Source organism: Homo sapiens, chromosome 3, assembly GCF_000001405.40.
Source record: "Homo sapiens chromosome 3, GRCh38.p14 Primary Assembly".
In the NCBI taxonomy this organism is placed as follows: Eukaryota; Metazoa; Chordata; class Mammalia; order Primates; family Hominidae; genus Homo; species Homo sapiens.
Window position 1 is genome coordinate 55665189 of NC_000003.12, and position 18390 is coordinate 55683578.

The following is an 18390-nucleotide window of genomic DNA, read 5'->3' on the forward strand; positions in this document are numbered from 1 at the left end:
AGTAGCACATTTCCTGACTCTTCAAGCAGCGCTCTTTCCACTGTTCTCAGGGTTCCATTATTTGGTTGCCCCAAGCTACTCAGATCTCAGCCATTCCGCAAGGAATTTCAGGGCTGGAAGAAACCTTTAAATGATTCATAGAATCTTGTTATGGATTGAGTTGTGCCCCCTCAGAATTCATGTGTTGAAATCCTAATCCCTAGTACTTGAGAATGTGACCTTATTTGAAAACAGGGTTGTTGCAGATCTCATTTGTTAAGATGAGGTCATCTTGGATCCTGATCTTAGGTGACTGTTGTCCTTATAAGAAGGGGAAATTTGGACACAAGGAGACACATGCACTCAACAACGCCGGGAGAAAATGAAGACAGAGATCAGAGTGATGCATCTACAAGCCAAGGAACACCAGAGATTGCCACCAAACCACCAGAAACTAAAGGAGAGGCATGGAATAGATTGTCCCTCACAGCCCCAGAAGGAAGTGCGCCTGCCTACACCTTGAACAAAGCCTGCAGAACCTTGTTATGGCAGCCCTAGAAAGGAAAGACAAATCATAAGGTGGGAAGTGTCATCATGGTGCTAATGCTGATGAGAGTTTGCTGGGCTCCAGAACTGGGCAAGGGTTCACTGCATCATCTCATAGCTTCCATACATGGACTCTGCTAGGTAGGCACTAGAAATGAGGGCTTTGAGGCTCACAGAGGCTGAGCTACTCAGTCAAGATCACACAGCTAGCATGTGGCCAAGATGGATTTAGACTTGGGCAGTCTGAGTCCAGACTCTGTTGCATTATCCCTTAAACATCACAGCCTCAGGTGGGGTGGCCAGGACAACTGATTAGCATCTATGAAGCCCTTTCTCATGTAGAACCTGTAAGGGGCTCACACCACCACCATGAGGTAGACACTATTGCCTAGGTTTTGTAGGGGAGGAAACAGGCACTCAGATTAAATCACTGACCCAAGGTCACAGAGCTCATCAGCGGTGGAGCGGGGATTTGAATCAAGTCTGTTGACTCCAGCAGGAGCTCTCAATCACTGCGCAGGAGACCAGCAAGTTCAGATTTGCTGGGTTCTCAGTGGCAAGTATGTCACCCTTTCCAAATCACCATCTCCTCCCTCTGTACCTCCACCTGCCATGCACACCTTGACTGTTGGTCCCCTCTTCCATGTCGTAACACACACATGGACATTTTCAATGTTCACTTCCCTTCCCTCCCTCTGTGAGAAAGCTCTGCTTCCTCTGAGTAGTGTCAAAGGTAACTTTCAGACTGTAAAGTCTGTGAGGTTCCTTCAGTCTGCGGGTCAAACTCTGATAATGTTCAAAGTCAAATCCAGGAATGACATGTAGGGGAAAAGCAGTGGTTCCCAACCAACCAGGAGCCATGTTGCCCCCCAGGGGACATTCAGCAATCTCTGGAATCATTTTTGGTTGTTACAACTAGGGGCTGGGGGTGGGGTGGCAGGGATGCTATTGGCATCCAGTAGGTAGAGGCCAGGGACGCTGCTAAGTATCCTACAACAGACAGGATGCAAGACAAAGAAGTATCCAGCCCTAGATTCAATAGTGCTGAAGCTGAGAAATCCTGGCATAGAGCGTGTTCTCCAGAGGCAAACTGCCCACTTCTCAATTCCAGCTCCATCACTCACTAGTTCCGCAACTTGGAGGCAACTTTCGTAAACTCTCTAGGGTCCAGTTTTCTTCTCTTTAACATGTAACTAATAATAGCACACGCCTATTAATATACATAATATTAGTTATTATGTAACGAATAATAGCACATACCAATATCTTATATGTATACATTATTACATAACACATGTTGTATATTATATGTTAAACATTGTGTTAGTTTCCCAGGCTAATCCACAAAAACCTATATCATGTTGTCATGTTGCTAAAATTCCTATGCTTGTGGAGAGGGTTGGGGAGGATAATGGAAGATAATATAACAGCTAAAACATAATACGAAAAACAATACTGAATGAAAACTTAACAGCATTGATTGATCTCAGGGCCACATACTTCAGGAGAAGTGGCCTTGTTTAGAAAGAACAAGGGAAGATAGTGCTCATCTTATGATGCTGTTTTGAGAATTAAATCTGTTAAACCATGTAAACCGTCTAGCACATTGTAAAAGTGATGTAAATGCTAGTTGCATAGATAAATGGAGACCTTTAAAAAGATTCCAGAGGGAATTTCTGAACTCTTTTAAAGTGAAACCTTTAGAGAGTGATCGCCTAAATTATTTATACTTAATTTCACTTTAAAACAAGAGTTTCCTTCTACATTGCACCTGGCTATTTGTGCACATGCTAAGTGCCTGAGTCTGCCATTCATCATCCTGAGACTGCATGCTGCAGCTAAGATTGCCAGCTAGTGCAGCTGAGAATCAGCTATGGAAGCCCCACAGTCAGATGCTTACCTTCCAGTTTTGGAAATAATAAGGGTGCCTCTCCTAAGCAATTACACCGTGCCCAGCACTTCACTTAGTGCCTGGCCATACACTAACTCACTTTGCCCCCCAACAAATCCAGGAGGCGTGTGCTATTATTAGTTACATGTTAAAGAGAAGAAAACTGGACCCTAGAGAGTTTACGAAAGTTGCCTCCAAGTTGCAGAACTAGTGAGTGATGGAGCTGGAATTGAGAAGTGGGCAGTTTGCCCCTGGAGAACATGCTCTATGCCAGGATTTCTCAGCTTCAGCACTATTGAATCTAGGGCTGGATACTTCTTTGTCTTGCATCCTGTCTGTTGTAGGATACTTAGCAGAGTCCCTGGCCTCTACCTACTGGATGCCAATAGCATCCCTGCCACCCCACCCCCAGCCCCTAGTTGTGACAACCAAAAATGATTCCAGAGATTGCTGAATGCATAATAAATTATATATCTCTCTCACTATATACATATAAGATATATAATGCATAATAAATTTTATATATATATATGTATCTCACTATTTGATTTCCCAACCATGAGTTAGCTGGCTCATAAACTCATCTGGGGAGAGACTTTGGCATGTGGTTTAAGGAGCTGGGTCTGAATAACCCCTTGCTATATCAGATAGCTAGCGGTGGCCACATAATACTGAACAAAGAACACGGAATGTGATGGGGAATGACAACTGGGTTACAGTCTGGGTTCTTCTACCTCTGAGTTGTGTGACCAAGATGTAATTTAGCCTCTCCTCTGTAAAATGGGGCAACCTAAGACCCACATGGTGGGGCAGAGAAAGACTAAGTAGAGTTACACATGGACAAAGGAAGCCTTCCTTAACGGTTGTGCTCCACTCCAGGACAAGTTATGCTCATCGTCATGACTTGGATTCCATGGCTACAAGTCTCACAGGACTCCATTGGGGTCTGCCGGCTGATGACAACACCTCATTCCAATGTGGTAGTATCACTTTCCTATCTTCTTTTTAGTGCCTTTGTGTGTTGCCCCTCTTGACCTCTGGGACTGGTGTTCAGGCCACACCACACAGCTCTCAATGCCAGCCTGTTGAATCGCCCATGCTAATCTATATCTATACAGAATTGATGGCAATTATAGATTATGCAATATAAAGTTACCCTGTGCTAACCTCCAGAGTCCTTGAATTCTTCTTATGACCAGAACCTCACATTGAGAGATGAGTAAGAATATACTTAACTTGAGTAAAACTACTCAAGGAGAGCAGGAACTTGAATATTTAGCTTCTGTTGAGGTGCACATAGCAGGTACTCAATAAATATTTATTGAACTAACTGCTAAACAGGTAAGTATTAGTTAAGTGCTACATAGCATAGTATGCAACGGTTATCCCTCCCAGTGTCTTCTTTCATTTCTTTTCAAATAATCTGAATAATTTGTAGGCAGGAGCACAAGAGCTTAGTTTTTCATCTTATCAACAAAGAACCCTCCAAAGAGGAGACATTCCTTTGGCCTTGGTTGTTGGCATTTCAGGTATAATTATATTTTTCACCCTAAAATTTCCCAACAAGATTAAGAGTTACACACAAAGTCTCCTTAACCTTTGGCTCGGAAGTTTGCACAAGGAGCTCTGCCCACTTTTCATGTGATTTCTGAAAGATGCCAGCTGCTGGCAGCCATGAAACATGAAACACAAAGAACCCATAATCTGCTAGAACATACCCTGCTTGCACAATTCCTTGAAGCCTCTCTAAGAATACACCAAAGCCTGCAAGTGTGTACATGCTTTTCTCCAGGCAAGGAAGATGCAACATTGCTTTCTCAACAAGCTGTTTCCAATATTTTAAGTAACTATTCTGGCTCGGCCAAGATAAGAGAGTACAAAGATCTAGGGAAAAGACAACTTTCACATTTTCTTTGTAATTTCACTTGGTTGTGGCCTCTGTTGAAGTTTCCCCTACTTCAAAACATGATTGTATTTCTTGTAATGGCTGAAAAGTTTTAAGCTTCTTCATGTACCTAATTCCAATGGGCTATTAACTGGGCTAGTTTATTGGCACTGTGGATGGAGGGCTTTTGAACTTGCAGGCATATATTTTTTATTGGCTGGACAGTTTGCTTGACTCTTCGAGAGCTATATCCAACCCATCCCAGCCAGGTGGTTTTTGGTGCATAGCATGAAGTCTCCAGGGAGAATGGTTCCATTTGTTCCCTTGGCCGTGTGTGCCAATGCAAAGCCCAGCACTCAATGCTCAACCTGATTCAGGAGACATGGAGCAAGTAAACTTTTAAAGCTTTATAACACATAGTAGATACTTGATAAATAATTACAGAGATATTGACGTGGCAAGCCTGTGAGAGGTGATCAATGTAGAGTAGGTAGTGGTAGGGAAGAAAATAAAAACAACAAGGCTAGTATTTATGGAGTGCCTTACTATGTACTAGCACTGAGCTCGCATTTTACACCACTATTACGTTTGATCTTCACAAGAACTCCATGAGGGAGGAAAATGTAAGAAATCGCTTTCCCCATTTTCCAGATGAGGACATTGGAAATTCAGAGAGATTAAATATTGTGCCCAAGGTCACACAGCTTTCAGGGACAGATCTGGAATGCAGAGCTCACACTCTTACCCCATGAGATCCTATATGCAGACTGGACATTCTACTCATGAAAAAAGGGAAGAACAAAAGGAGGAAGAGGTGGTGAAATAAGATGTGAGAAGAAAGCAGAGAAGTGGTCAATGGAGAAAACCCCTAAGGTGGAGAGGATGAAAATGGACAGAGCCCTTGTTGGCTGTCTTCACGATTCTTAAAGAAATGGGCCCATCTTCCCCTTCCCATGAGGGGAGTTTGTTGGGGAGCTTGAAGACTACAGCAGAGATTGAAAAGGGTCACCATGGGGAATGCAATGTGAGTCAGTGCAGACAAGCAACCGCCCTGCAGCTCTGGAGTCAGACATACCTGGGTTCGGATCCTAGCTCTGAGATTTTGGAGCTTTGTGACTTTGGGCAAAGAGCTTTCCCTCTCTGTGTCTGAATTTCCTCATCTTGAAGACAGGATCATAGTGGTACATACCACATACGGAGACATCAGGATGAACAAGATGACCAATGTGAAAGCACTTAGAATGGGGTGGCAAATAATGGCCCAATAGGTCAAATTCAGCTAGCCACTGGTTTTTGTGTGGTCTGCAAGTCGAAAATGGGTTTTACCTTTTTCAACAGTTGGGGGGGAATTTTTTTAAAACGAATATTTTGTGACACATGGAAATGATATGAAATTCAAATTTCACTGTCCATAAATATAGTTTACAGTGGAACACAGCCATGCCCACTCGTATGGTCTCTGGCTGCTTTTGCATGGCAATGGCAGGGTTATGGAGTTGCAGCCAAGACCACACGTGGCACACTCATGGCTTTGCACTGCTGTTCACACACTACAAATGGCAGCAAGGTTGCTCTAACTTGACCAGACTTTGAGTGTCATGCATATCACCTATCTGTATGGACAGATATTTTTAAAGATGAAATACATAAAATACCATTACAGATCATCATTAACAGATGAACATTTGCAATATATTTTGATAACAGAGAATACTAATTTTGATCCCCAATAAAGTGACATGTTATCCCCTAAAAGAAACCCACTCTCTTCTCATTAGTAGAGGTATATTACAAAAAATTATACTCATTATATTTTGAATTTCTTCAATAAAAAAATCTATGAACATTTGTTTTCTTTCTTGTTATATAAACATCTATATCTGGATTTTGCCCACAGATTTTGGACCACAAAACCTAAAATATTTACTATCTGGACATTGCAAAGTTTTCTAGTAAGCCCTAACTTGGGACAGTGGTGGGCACGTGGTCATCGGCACAGGAGAGGAAATGCTAGCCTCTCCTTTGCCGACATCCTTTGAGAAAGGCCCCAAGTTCCTTTTTATTTGTCTCAGTCTTCTTGAACAGTGAATATATATGCCCATTAAGCTCCACATAAGTAAGCACTTGGCAAAACATAGTTGCCAAACATAGAAAAAGAAAAGCCTAATGGTGGTGCTAGGCTATCGGCCTTCTCCTTTTCAGGCCAATTCATCATTTTTGGCATGCGGTTGTCCAGGCTTCGTGTTAACCACCTCAGTCAGTGGTGGTAGCTCCACCTGCTTGGAAAATGGCTCATCCTATAGTCCAAGAGAAGTCAGGCTGCAGCAAAACTTTCCCCAGATATATTCTGTGCACCCTAATTCTACATGAGGGTGTGAGAAGAAAAGGGGCTGTGAGCAATAAGCACAGCAAACGCTGTCTCTCTGGAGTGTGACAGCTGACTGGAGGACCCTGGCCTATTGAAGGCTCTGAGAAGGCCTGCAGTGGAGAAACCTATTAATGCTGTTTAATCCAGCTTTGCTCAAACTTATTTGAACACCATATGCCTTTATGACTATTTTTTAAAATAGTGGCCAGGTCGGGTAGCTCATTCCTGTAATCTCAGCACCTTGGGAGCTGAGGTGGATCACCTGAGTCCAGAAGTTTGAGACCAACCTGGACAACATGGCAAGATGCCATCTCTAGGCCCCCCACCCCTACACAAATAGCCAAGTATGGTGGTGTGTGCCTCCTAGCTACATGGGAGGCTGATGTGGAGGATCTCGCTTGAACCCACAAGTCTGAGACTGCCGAGAGCCATGATCACACCATTGCACTCCAGCCTCGGTGACAGAGGAGGACCCTATCTCAAAAAAAAAAAAAAAAAAGTCTTTTAATATCCAACACCATCAGTGCACTGAGGAACACCTTAGGGAATTACTACTATAGTGGAAGGAGTAGCTGGCCAAGAGTCACATGTTTGAAGTTCACGTACTAGTTCCCCTGTGTCTCATCTGTATAGCCCTGGACAAACCTCCTTTTCTTACTCTATAAAATGGGCATGGTGTCACCTGTCTGCCCTCCTCGTAGAGCTGATGGGAGATCAGATGAAAATCAGGGACACAGGGCATTTTCTCTAAACTGGCAAGGGTGCTATGTGAGTGAGACAGAAGTAGAAGAAATGGCAGTGTCAGCTCTTGGAACTTTAAGGTGTTTTCCCTAAGATGAGTGAACTAGGCAGAAAGCCACTGTGCTGAAGGCCCCCTCAGTGTTTGTCAGGACAGCAGTGACCTACAGAGGGGCAAACGCCAGAGTCCATCCTTCCCTGTCCCCAGTCCCTGCCATGGAAATGCAACCCAGCTACATAAAGCTCCTGCAGGCTTCGGGGCGTAGGAGTCTCTTGCATGGAGTCAGGCCCTCACATGAAAAAATGGCTCAACAGTCCGGGCTCCATCAGCATGTTGGTGCATTCATAATTTTTAAAAATAATAACATGGAGAAAATTCATCTGGTGCATCTTAGCTGGCACCCTCACACATCGTCACCTCCTTATCTGATATATTAGATTTCCCTGTGTCCCAAGCCTGTTATATAATGAGGGACAAAGATTGCTCTCTGGCTCTAGAAGACTTCCTCATTCTCCCTTTCTCATTCCACATTCCGTGAGGGGGAAGGACAATTCTTTGCAGTGGCCAATTGTACTGAGCCCAAATCATGTTTCGGATCAGCTGGGGGAAACACTGTTAGCCCTGCAAGCCCTTCCTCTCTGAGAAGAAAACAGGCTTGCCATGAGTTTCCCAATGTGTCACCTGCCTTCAGACAAAGGGGAGCAGAGGCCGGGCACGGTGGCTTACGCCTGTAATCCCAGCACTTTGGGAGGCCGAGGTGGGCAGATCACGAGGTCGAGAGATTGAGACCATCCTGGCCAACATGGTGAAACCCCGTCTCTACTAAAAATACAAAAACTAGCTGGGCATGGTGGCGCACGCCTGTACTCCCAGCTACTCGGGAGGCTGAGGCAGGAGAATCACTTGAACCTGGGAGACGGAGGTTGCAGTCAGCCAAGATCACACCACTGCACTCTAGCCCGGTGACAAAGCAAGACTCCGTCTCAAAAAAATAAAAAATAAAAAAAAAGAGGAGCAGAGAGGTTTCTTCGATAACATGATTTTTATCATGCTCCCAAGCTAGTGCCCCAGCACCAGGGGAGACAAGTACAAAAAAATAAGTAAAACCACAAACCCAACACAAAACAGCAGCCAGAGTCCCACACACTGAATCCGTTTACAATCCAGTGCCGTGGGCCAATGGGGAGACTCCCTTTTTAATTACCAAGTTTTTTTTTTTTTTTTTTTTTTTAGTAGAGTGATTTGTACAGAAACTCCTTTCAAATAACACAGTGACTTCAGGGATCAAGGTGCACAGAAAGAAGAACAGCAGAGGCTGGGGGATCAGCAAGGTTGCTAATTCCATCACACGCTGACTCAGGGCAATCAGAGGCACTCCTCTGACACGTGAGCAGGGAACAATGAAGCCTCATGCCACTGCCAAGAACAAACCCAATGGGCAACAGTGTACTCTTCCCAGCCTCTGCATCCAAAGGGCTCTAGTGTGCGTGGCCACTCCAGCCTGCCCTGACCTCCCGACTGCCCGATGCAGAGCATATCTTAAAATTATAAACAGATGTGAAAAACAGTCATGTAATGCCAAGTAAATGATAACACCACCAAAAACAGTCTTAGCTACCTTTAAAGGCTTAATCCATCAGGTGGGAGTGGTGGAACCAGTATTTGAACTTGGTCTGTGAGGCTCTAGAGCCTGGGTACTGCCCAACCACTCTGCGCCAAAGATTATGCAAAGACAGAGATTCCCATCTCCATCAAGTACATATTTACAAGACCATCTGCATAGGAAAAATATGGCAAGATATATACTGAAAAGTTAAAAATGATGCTTTCTCTGAATGAGGATTTTGAGAAAATTTTTTTCCTGATATACTTATTAAATTTCCTAAGTTTTGTAAAATGAGCATAAAAGTAATACATGAGGAAAATGAATTGGTGGCTGTAGGAAGCTCAGATTTCCCAGTGAAAGCAATCTGCGATTATTATTTCAGGGCCTCGTCTTATGTTTGCCCTCTGATGGACAAAGATACAATGTGCAGCGAGGGGTCTTTCGCCACATATGGGAGTCTGCCTTTTTATTCTGGATCTAATAGGTTTAACTGAGAAATCTTCTCTCGAAGAGATTATAACAATCTTTCTTCTTCAAACTTCCAGGGGCTCTGTTTCTACCTCTCTGCATATACACAGTGACTGAGGAACTAAGGAAATGTTTGGGGACTGGCAGATTTTAAAGCTACCCTTGCCCTTCAACCACCCACACAAACCTAAAAGAAGGGACCTGATTTATTAAGGTGCACAGCAGAAGGGCACACGGTGAGGTTGCAAACGCTGACTCTTAGGCTGAAAGAAATGGCAAGGAGTCTCCTTATAAAGGCTCAGCATCTCAGTGATTTTGTCACCATGGGAACAACCCTGTGAGCTGCAAGGCATGCATGGACCCATGTTTACAAGTGCAGGATCTGCTTCAGAGGGATGGGGGCCTGACATCCCAATTTTACTCCACTCAAGATTGAACACACGAGCACCTTAGATCCTGACCTGGCACAGTGGAAGTTCTCAGTTGCTGTGTGCTGTTGTTCTCAGCATTTACATTATATTTCCCAGAAAACAAAGCTAGAGGACATGTATATTCCCAGAATACATTCCCATCTCAAAGTCTCTGACAAACATGTTCATGGGGAAGCCACAATGAGGGTTGCAGTAAGAGTTTCATAAGAACACCAGGTAGCCACCAGATGGTGGACTAGCAATTTTCCTGCAGAGATCATGTGACTCTGGAGAAGGAATATATGGGGGAGGCCTGAGGACAGAGTTAAGGTACGTCTTGGTAAGGCTAATGACCTCCAGCCAATGGATGCTCCAATAGCAGAAAGGAATCTAGCCATTCTGATTGATACACCTAGTGGTGGCCATAATATGTGCTCTGATTTTAGATGTCGTCTTGGTTTTCCCCTTTGGTTGGGGCTGTGGAGATGGTTGGAAAGAGGTGGGGCTGGAGTTGCTTTCCCTGAACCAACAAGACAATTCTGACTCAGAGCATTACGTTGGCCACCAATTGGATGGCTCCCCAAAGAGGCCTCTGAGAAGTATCTATTCTCAGGCTACAAGTCTCAAAATGAAACCTGTGAGCCTTCTCAACCCCACATTTGCATGTTCTAGAGCAATACCTTCTGGTCTCCCTGAAAGTGCCATTATGGCCATTTTCAAATGTTATTAATAATTCTTTTAGAAGCTTTGGTTCTGCCTCCAACATTAAATGATGCCCTGCATCGTTTAAAAACCCTTTCCATCTTTCTTTCTCTTTTCTTTCTTTTTTTTTTTTTTTTTTTTTTTTTTTTTTTTTTGAGAGAGAGTTTCGCTCTTGTCGTCCAGACTGGAGTGCAATGGCACGGTCTCTGCTCACTGCAACCTCTGCCTCCCAGGTTCAAGCAATTCTCCTGCCTCAGCTTCCCAGGTAGCTGGGAATACAGGCATGTGCCACTACGCCCAACTAATTTTTTTGCATTTTTAGTAGAGACAGGGTTTCTCCATGTTGGCCAGGCTGGTCTTGAACTCCTGACCTCAAGTGATCTGTCCGCCTTGGCCTCCCAAAGTGCTTGGATTACAGGTGTGAGCCAGCGTGCACAGCCTTTCTTTCCATCTTTCTGATAACTTGGGTGATCCTCTGAGATAAAGCATGTATAATATTGTGATGTCCCAGGTGTAAGACAATTGTCACATAAGATCACGCATGTCTCTCTGGCACCTGCTAACACTGACAGTGCTAACTACCAAAGGCACCTCTCTCCCTACTCTCACCCATAGCAGACTTTTGGGCTGGCTGGTTTCGCTGACGTTTACTGAGCTGCTTATTATTATTATTATTATTATTATTATTATTATTATTTTAGCATTCAGCTTTTCATATCCCTCCCACCCATTGGTATCTGTGTCTCAGATTAATTTTCACCAGATGTGAGTGTCTGGACTTCTCCAAGATTTGTTATTTTCCCTCCATGTTCCTAACCTTCTTCAGGCCATTTGTGTGATTTCTCTGACCTCAACTAGTGTTTCCAACACCTTCCAAATTAGTGTCATCTGTGACTTTCCTTCACATGCTCTTTTCTCCCCTTTACAGATCATTAATAAAGAGGTTAAACAAGACCAGACCAACAGCATACTCTAAAGCAAATGACAAAAGGGTGGGAGAGCCAGCATGCTCCCTGTGCGCCAGCCCTGGCACAGGAAGGATGTAATGTAATGTAACAACACTCTGCTAGACGCCTCCCGCCTCTGGCCCAGTGGTAATTTATCACCACTGTTTGTTTATGATTTCTCAGCCAGATTTCAGGTCCTCAGAGTGTGGTCATATCTAAGCCAACATGCATTGCTCTGCCAGGTAACCCTTATGAGCTCCAGAGAAACCCACAAGAACTTATTTACTGCCCTCCAATCTCCTTAAAAGCTTCTACCTTGGCCCCCAAGTCCATCACCCTTGAGAGCAGAAAGAGGTGGACTGAGACATTATTATCCTTTTCTCTCTTCCAATTCATTAGCTCGCAATTAATTATTTGTTAAATATTCATTGGCTTTCATGTTACTCATTAGATTTTTCTTTAAGCCGAAAGAAACCCTCTGCTATAAACAGGGACTAATTCATACTCTCCAACAATCAAACTTTCCTTTGCTATACCCAAGTGTTATAAAAATCAAAGGTAACTGGAGAGGGTATGTTTATAGGGTAAACATGCTTTAAGTAAGGCCTGCTATGTAGGTGGCTTGGGTGTAGCTATGGCCATAGGAATAGATTACCTTTCTTTTGCCTTTTCTTTTACCTCCCAAATTCAACAACCCCAGTATCAACCACTTTCCTCTGTTTATGGATACAGTACACTTTCCTGAGCCCAGAAGTAACAATAATAGTGATATACTGATATTCTACCCAGGGTTGAATACTCACTGTGCACCAGGCATGACTTGGCATCTTACTCAGCTCATCACAGCCCTGGGGGTGTCACAACCTTCCTCAAAGAGAAAATGGAGGGGAGAGACGGAAGGTGACTTACCCACGATCATCCAAACCTAGGTCTATCTGAATCCAGAGACCACACTGTTAGCCACCCCACCATAGATGAGGGTCTTCTTCACTTTTTCTGAGTCACTGGCCCCTCTATCTGCTGAGGAACATAAATAAATACTCTCTTTGTGGGGATGTGCATACATCCACATTGAAGCCTATTAACCATGTCAGGGGATTTGCAGAGCCTCCAGGGCTTATGGACGCCTGCTTGAGAATCTATGTACTACTCTAAGCTCCTCGAGGGTAGGAATCACACTTTGTTCACTACCTTGACTCAGTACTGAGATGTATATCCAGTACATCTCCAGTACTAAGATGAAGAAATATTTTTTGAATAAATTACTAATTGCAAAGACTGTGAATAGGATATTCAAGTTGAAGCTCTAAACAGCAGCTTTGTAAGCCTGAATAGAAGATATAAATATACAGACACCTTCCAGAGGAGTAGAAGAGCAAAATAAAAGGAGGAAGTGGGGACAGAGATAAAGCAAAAACATCTTACTTTGCCCAGGAATCGATTTTGCAATTGGAAGTAGGCAGAGACATTGTCATGGTGGTTCTAAAACACCTCGTAGCTACTTCTGGTTAGTTCTCATATTAACTCCTGAAAAGAGATTATTGAAAGCTTCTTCTGCAGAAAAATAATATACTTAGAATTTCAAGATGAGAAGTCAATTATCAAGAGCAATCAAAATCTCATGTTGTACCCCTTAACTGACAGAATTCTTGATCCCTGGAGATCTCAGGGGGAACTACAAGAGCCAATGGCAACTTCCTTCTCTCTAGGTCCCTCTAGTCCCTAGGTCCCTTTCAACCTCCTACAACTCTGGGGTTTTTGTTTTTCCACAGATTGCTACCCCTTACATGTCTTCTTATTCTATAACTACTGATTTTGCTTTGCAATCTCCTTTTCTTCAAGAGTTGGAGGAGCCACCCACTCTTGAAGTTAGACTTCAGACGTGCTTTAAACTTGTCAGCCTGCACATTACTGCAATAAGAGGCCAGAGATTCCCCTGCTGATATGCAGGAACATGGAAAACAGCCAAGGTCAAAAGCCTGCCCTTCCCTTGGCCAGAGCGACTGGACATCTGGGGAAACCAGAACTCTGAGTTCCCTCTCAGTGCCCCCACCACCACCAATAATGGCCTGCTCCAGCTTTGACACCCAAGGTAGAAATCTGGAGGCATTCTCAATTTTGTCCTTTGTCTTACCTCCCCATCCAAGTCCTCCTGGCTTCACCTTCCTAGTCTTATCTCCAATTTATCCACTTGTCTGCATCTCCACTACTGCTGCCCTGGGTCAGTGCCATCAATTCTCTCACAGATCATGGAACAGCCTCTACTTCTGCTCTTCCTGCCACGACAATTCATCCTCTACACAGCAGCCAGGGTTGTTCTACAACATAAATCAAATCATGTCATGTCCCTGCTTAAACTCCTCTGATGTCTGCTCAGTTTTCTTAGGCTTAAAATCTAAACTCTCTACCTCGCCATAAAAGGCCCTACGTTTTCTGGTCCCTTCCTTCTTCTCCATCCTCATCTCACTGTTTTGTGCTCTACCCAGAGTTATGGTCTTCAAGCCTCTTCAGCTTATAAACTCCTTCCCACCTCCAGCTTTTGCATGCCTCCCGGGACCACCTCCCAAATGCACGCCTTGGCATGGATACCTCCTGACTCTCCCCTTTTAAGACTTGGCTTAAAACTTACTTCCTTGGAGAGATGCTTGCTGAACATCCTTCCTTAAGTAGGTTCCTCAAGTTAATCTCAGTATCTTTCTGGTTTCCATCAAAGCCATGACCAAAACGTGCAAGGTTTCTATTGAGATGTCTAATTATTTATATTCTGTCCCTTGACTAGATGGCAAGATCCACAGGGGAGCAACCATGGCAATCTTATTCGTCACTGGTTTCCTAGCATCTAACTGAGAACTTAACCGTTTGGTGAAAGAATGGACAAATGAGTGAATAATAAATGAATGAATGAATAAATGAAAGTCTTAGTAGCCAATGGCACAAGAAAGAGATATATCAGATCCTCAGTTATACAAAATCTAAATTGCATTAAAAGCAGCAGTAGCTACCCCTGTACAGGCGGTGTGAAAGAAAACCTGCACTTTGCATAGAAACCACCACTTTGTATAGAAACCTCTGCTTTGTGTAGAGCTCAGAGCTCTTTCCTTGATTTTCTTTTTGCAGCCATTAAATTTCTCTAGTTCCAGGACAAGCACAGGCCTAGTGTCCAGACCCTGTCCGCTAAAAGAAGGCAAGTCAGACCTGAACTTCCTAGCCACAATAAAACATCTCCTTCCTCCTTCTTTCATTCTTCCAGAGGGGAGGCATGGCAGGGAGTTCCACTGGGCCATCCAGCACTGCTTTTATTTGTAAAACACCACTTCCTCGTGTCTAAATGTTCTGGGATTCATATTTTTACTCACCATAACATTGTCCATGAGCTGGTGGCAGACAGCTACAATTCTTCATTTTGAACAGGCTGCATCTACTAGCATCACAGCCTCATGCCAAAACTTGTTAATGCCACATCTGTATTTTTATGAATCGGGTCCTAAAAATTTGCATATGTTTTCAATCAAAAAAGACTAATTCCTTTCTAGTGGTTTAAGAAATAAAAACTTGTGTTCTATCTTTGCTCAATTACAAGAGTTCACAGTAAGAGCTCAAACATTCAAATGTCGAGGCAGAGGTGGCACTAAATCTCACAAGGTGCCTCGATTTGCTCCTCCATTGCCTACCTCATTGATGTTCGCAAACCCGAATGCCTCTTGGGGGATCCATGGAAAGCACCTTCATTCAATGTAAATGAAGAAGTATTTGCTGACACAAATGATACCTACATTAAGTGGATTTTCCTGAAGAACAATTATGGAGAATTGAGGAGCTGCTTTTTCTGCATTTTGCAAGGCAAGATAGGGAATACAGTTAGGCCTCCAAGAGCACATTTTCACAATTGAAAGTATGTGTGAGTGTGGGGTTTGGGGGGTTGGTGGTGAGAGGACAGTGGTTGAATATGCTTTGCCAGGGATGCCTATGATGGCAAGAACTTGCTGGAAAAGTGATCCCGTGGAGTCTCTAGAAGAAACCCAGAACAATGAGGCTGGCCACAGGTAAATCTTAGGCATAAGAAAACAAGAGTGTGGATGATCCAACAGGGAGGGGGAGTATAAAGAGAATTGGGAAGCAGAATATAGGAATATATGTTTGGTGTAGGCAGCATAGACTACATAATTAGTGGCGCTGAGGGCAAATGAACATGTGAGGCCCCTTCTTTGAAAAACATTAGGAATTTCAAGACAGTGACAGCAGAGTTTTAACCTAAGAGTGAAGCCCTTCCAAGTGTAGGGCCTGTGGACTGCACAGGCCATACGCTGATAAATCCAGGCCTGGGTGTGAGGTTTAAGAGGGGAAAGGCTAGCTCTAGGGGGTGTCAAAACTCTTTAGAAAAGTAAACTTTCCCCGGTCCACCGTGTGCTCGGAAAATACCACTCTTGAATGACCATAGTGAGACAAATAAATCATGTCTGGACTTAGCCTCCAGAAGTGGCAAAAAAGGGAGGAGCTGATGGGGTTGTTATGCTAATTCCAATTTGTTGTAATTTTTAGAGTGACTTTTTCTAAATTATGTTCATTTCAGCACCAAAACTCCAGATTCAAGTCAGAGCCTTCCGATGCTATTATGAGCATATTACTGATGTCTAGTAAAATAACATCTTGTGATGTTTCTTTTATAGGGGCCATAAATCAAAACATTGAAAACAGTTAATTTTTAATGTACCACTATTATCCATCTTTAGTTATAAATTTAATGTCTCCTAAGGCCTCATGGATTGTAATGCAACTCAAAACATGCAACGGCTGCTCAAAAACAGAAGGTTCCCCCAGTATCTCATTATTTAAATCCTTAAAGATATGGTTTTAAAAGCCTGAGGATATCTAAGCAAACTTGTTTAAAGGAGTCATAAAGAAAGATAAGTAGTTTTCCTCTGAAGCATATGAAATTTATTACAGCATACTAAAGTAGGATTATATATTGACTAAATTTCTAAAAACATTTATTTTCTGGTGTGCATGGCATTTGGGGAAATTCACGAAGAAATAAAGGGGATAGGGCTTAATACAATCGTCTGCATTTGCCTTAAGCAAAGCAAGATTTCCTACGGGTCTTGGAGCCAATTCCATCCTGAGGATAACAACACTGTTCATATCTCAGGGTGTCATGAATCTTGTGAAAGAGCAATACAAAATCTTCACTATTCAGGAGGAAACACAAGTGCAGCCTAGCGCCCTGATACTCATGATGGCAGAAGTAGCTTCACAGAAGAGCCCCAAGTAGGATCTACACTTTTCAAGACAACTGCCAAACTCTTAGAACTTTCCTTTACCTACCTCTTCCATGCATGTTTGAGGCAGGCTTCATGTGTTTGCTTTTTAACGCTATAAAACGCTTTCTTCTCATTTCATATGACTTTAGGTCAATTGCCACTTTTATTAGCTTTTCTCTGTGAGTAAATGTGACATTTCTCTTAATATTTTCCCTACATAGGGAGAGAGTTGCTCCCATAGACATCCAGAACTTCTCTGATTTCCCCACTTCCTCATACTGACAAGCTTTCCTGCAGAATGACTTTGCATCTGGAAGTGTTAATTCCAGTGCCGTTTTCCCCTTTGCCAAGAAAAGGGAGAAGAGATGAGATACTTCTGTATTAACATGAAGCAGGTTTTACTGGCAGCAAATGGATCCAGGAGGCATTACATCTTTACTATGTAGAAAGATGTCGTACCTGAAAACCACCATCCTGTGAACTGCCCCCTCAGTACCAAAAAAAGCAAACTGACCCATTAGTGGGACATGTAACAGGTTCAACTAAGAAGTAAAACACAACAATGAAACGTCACCCACAGGCCAAACGTACCAGCTCTTGGTTAAACTTCACCTGAAGCACTACCTGCCATGCTATTTGAAGGCAAGACTCGGGGAAAGACATACATGCTAAGTTATCCCAAAGAATTGTCCCACACCTGTTGAATCTCCAGCACTGTGTCATTTCATGCTTGTCCCAGAATAAAGAGCTATAGATTGAATACTTTCTGATCAGAAAAAAATCACCATGGCACACAATCAACCACATTCCTTGTTCTGAATAAAACATCATATGCAATGTTATCAAGTTTAATACCATATTCCATGTAACCATGTGTATATTCAACTCCAGGGAGTTTGTGACTTGGTGTTAAACAGCCTGCAGTATAGAGGAGAGGTGTAATTCCCAGCAGCAAAAGTTGCTAGACTTCAGTATTCCATTCATAACCATGTGGTAATTACATGTGTCACTATTCAATCGTAATGCAGACAGGATGTAAATAAAGGGTGGATTCTCAATAGCTAAAGATCAGCTTTTAAAATACAAAACCCTCTGATAAATACAATGTGTATAATTTCTAATGCAAAGCCTCATAGAAGTATAATTTTTAAAAAGCAACAGATAAAATGTCACTAATAAGACCTGCTAATATGAATGTTTCTATTCTAATTCATTTAAAGAGTTACAGTTACCCATTCACCATTACTATGCCTTGATCCTTGTGTTTTCTTCAGAACTGCCATAGAAGAGATAGCACAATCCATTAAACGGCCTTCTTAGAGATGATAGTTTCAGCTCCATGAAGATACATATTTTATTTTCCTTATTCCTTGCCAAACATTTGACACAACCAGAAGGACGTGAGAGTCACACCACACTGGCATATCTGGTGAAAGCAAGCAGTCGGCTGAAAACCACGACTGGAGAATTGCGACAATTTCTGAGTCCACAATCATGCCTTAAAAAGTGTGTATAAATCCTAGTAAGGGCACAGTTTACATCTTAAATAACACAGAAACATTTGAATCGTGCTAAACCCAGCCCCAACAAG

At 42.9% G+C, this 18390-nt stretch overlaps 1 protein-coding gene across 20 annotated transcripts in view; it reads right to left on the reverse strand.

Moving 5' to 3' along the window:
• Positions 1-18390, reverse strand: part of ERC2 (ELKS/RAB6-interacting/CAST family member 2) — a 960157-nt gene that overhangs the window by 156878 nt on the left and 784889 nt on the right. The window contains exon 17 of one of the 20 annotated variants that reach the window (XM_047447951.1): positions 16454-18225. The exons of the other annotated variants lie outside the window; for them this stretch is intronic. The gene's annotated coding sequence lies outside the window, so the exon portion shown is untranslated. Of the gene's footprint in view, positions 1-16453; positions 18226-18390 lie in introns of those variants that run through there. 20 annotated transcript variants of the gene reach the window in all.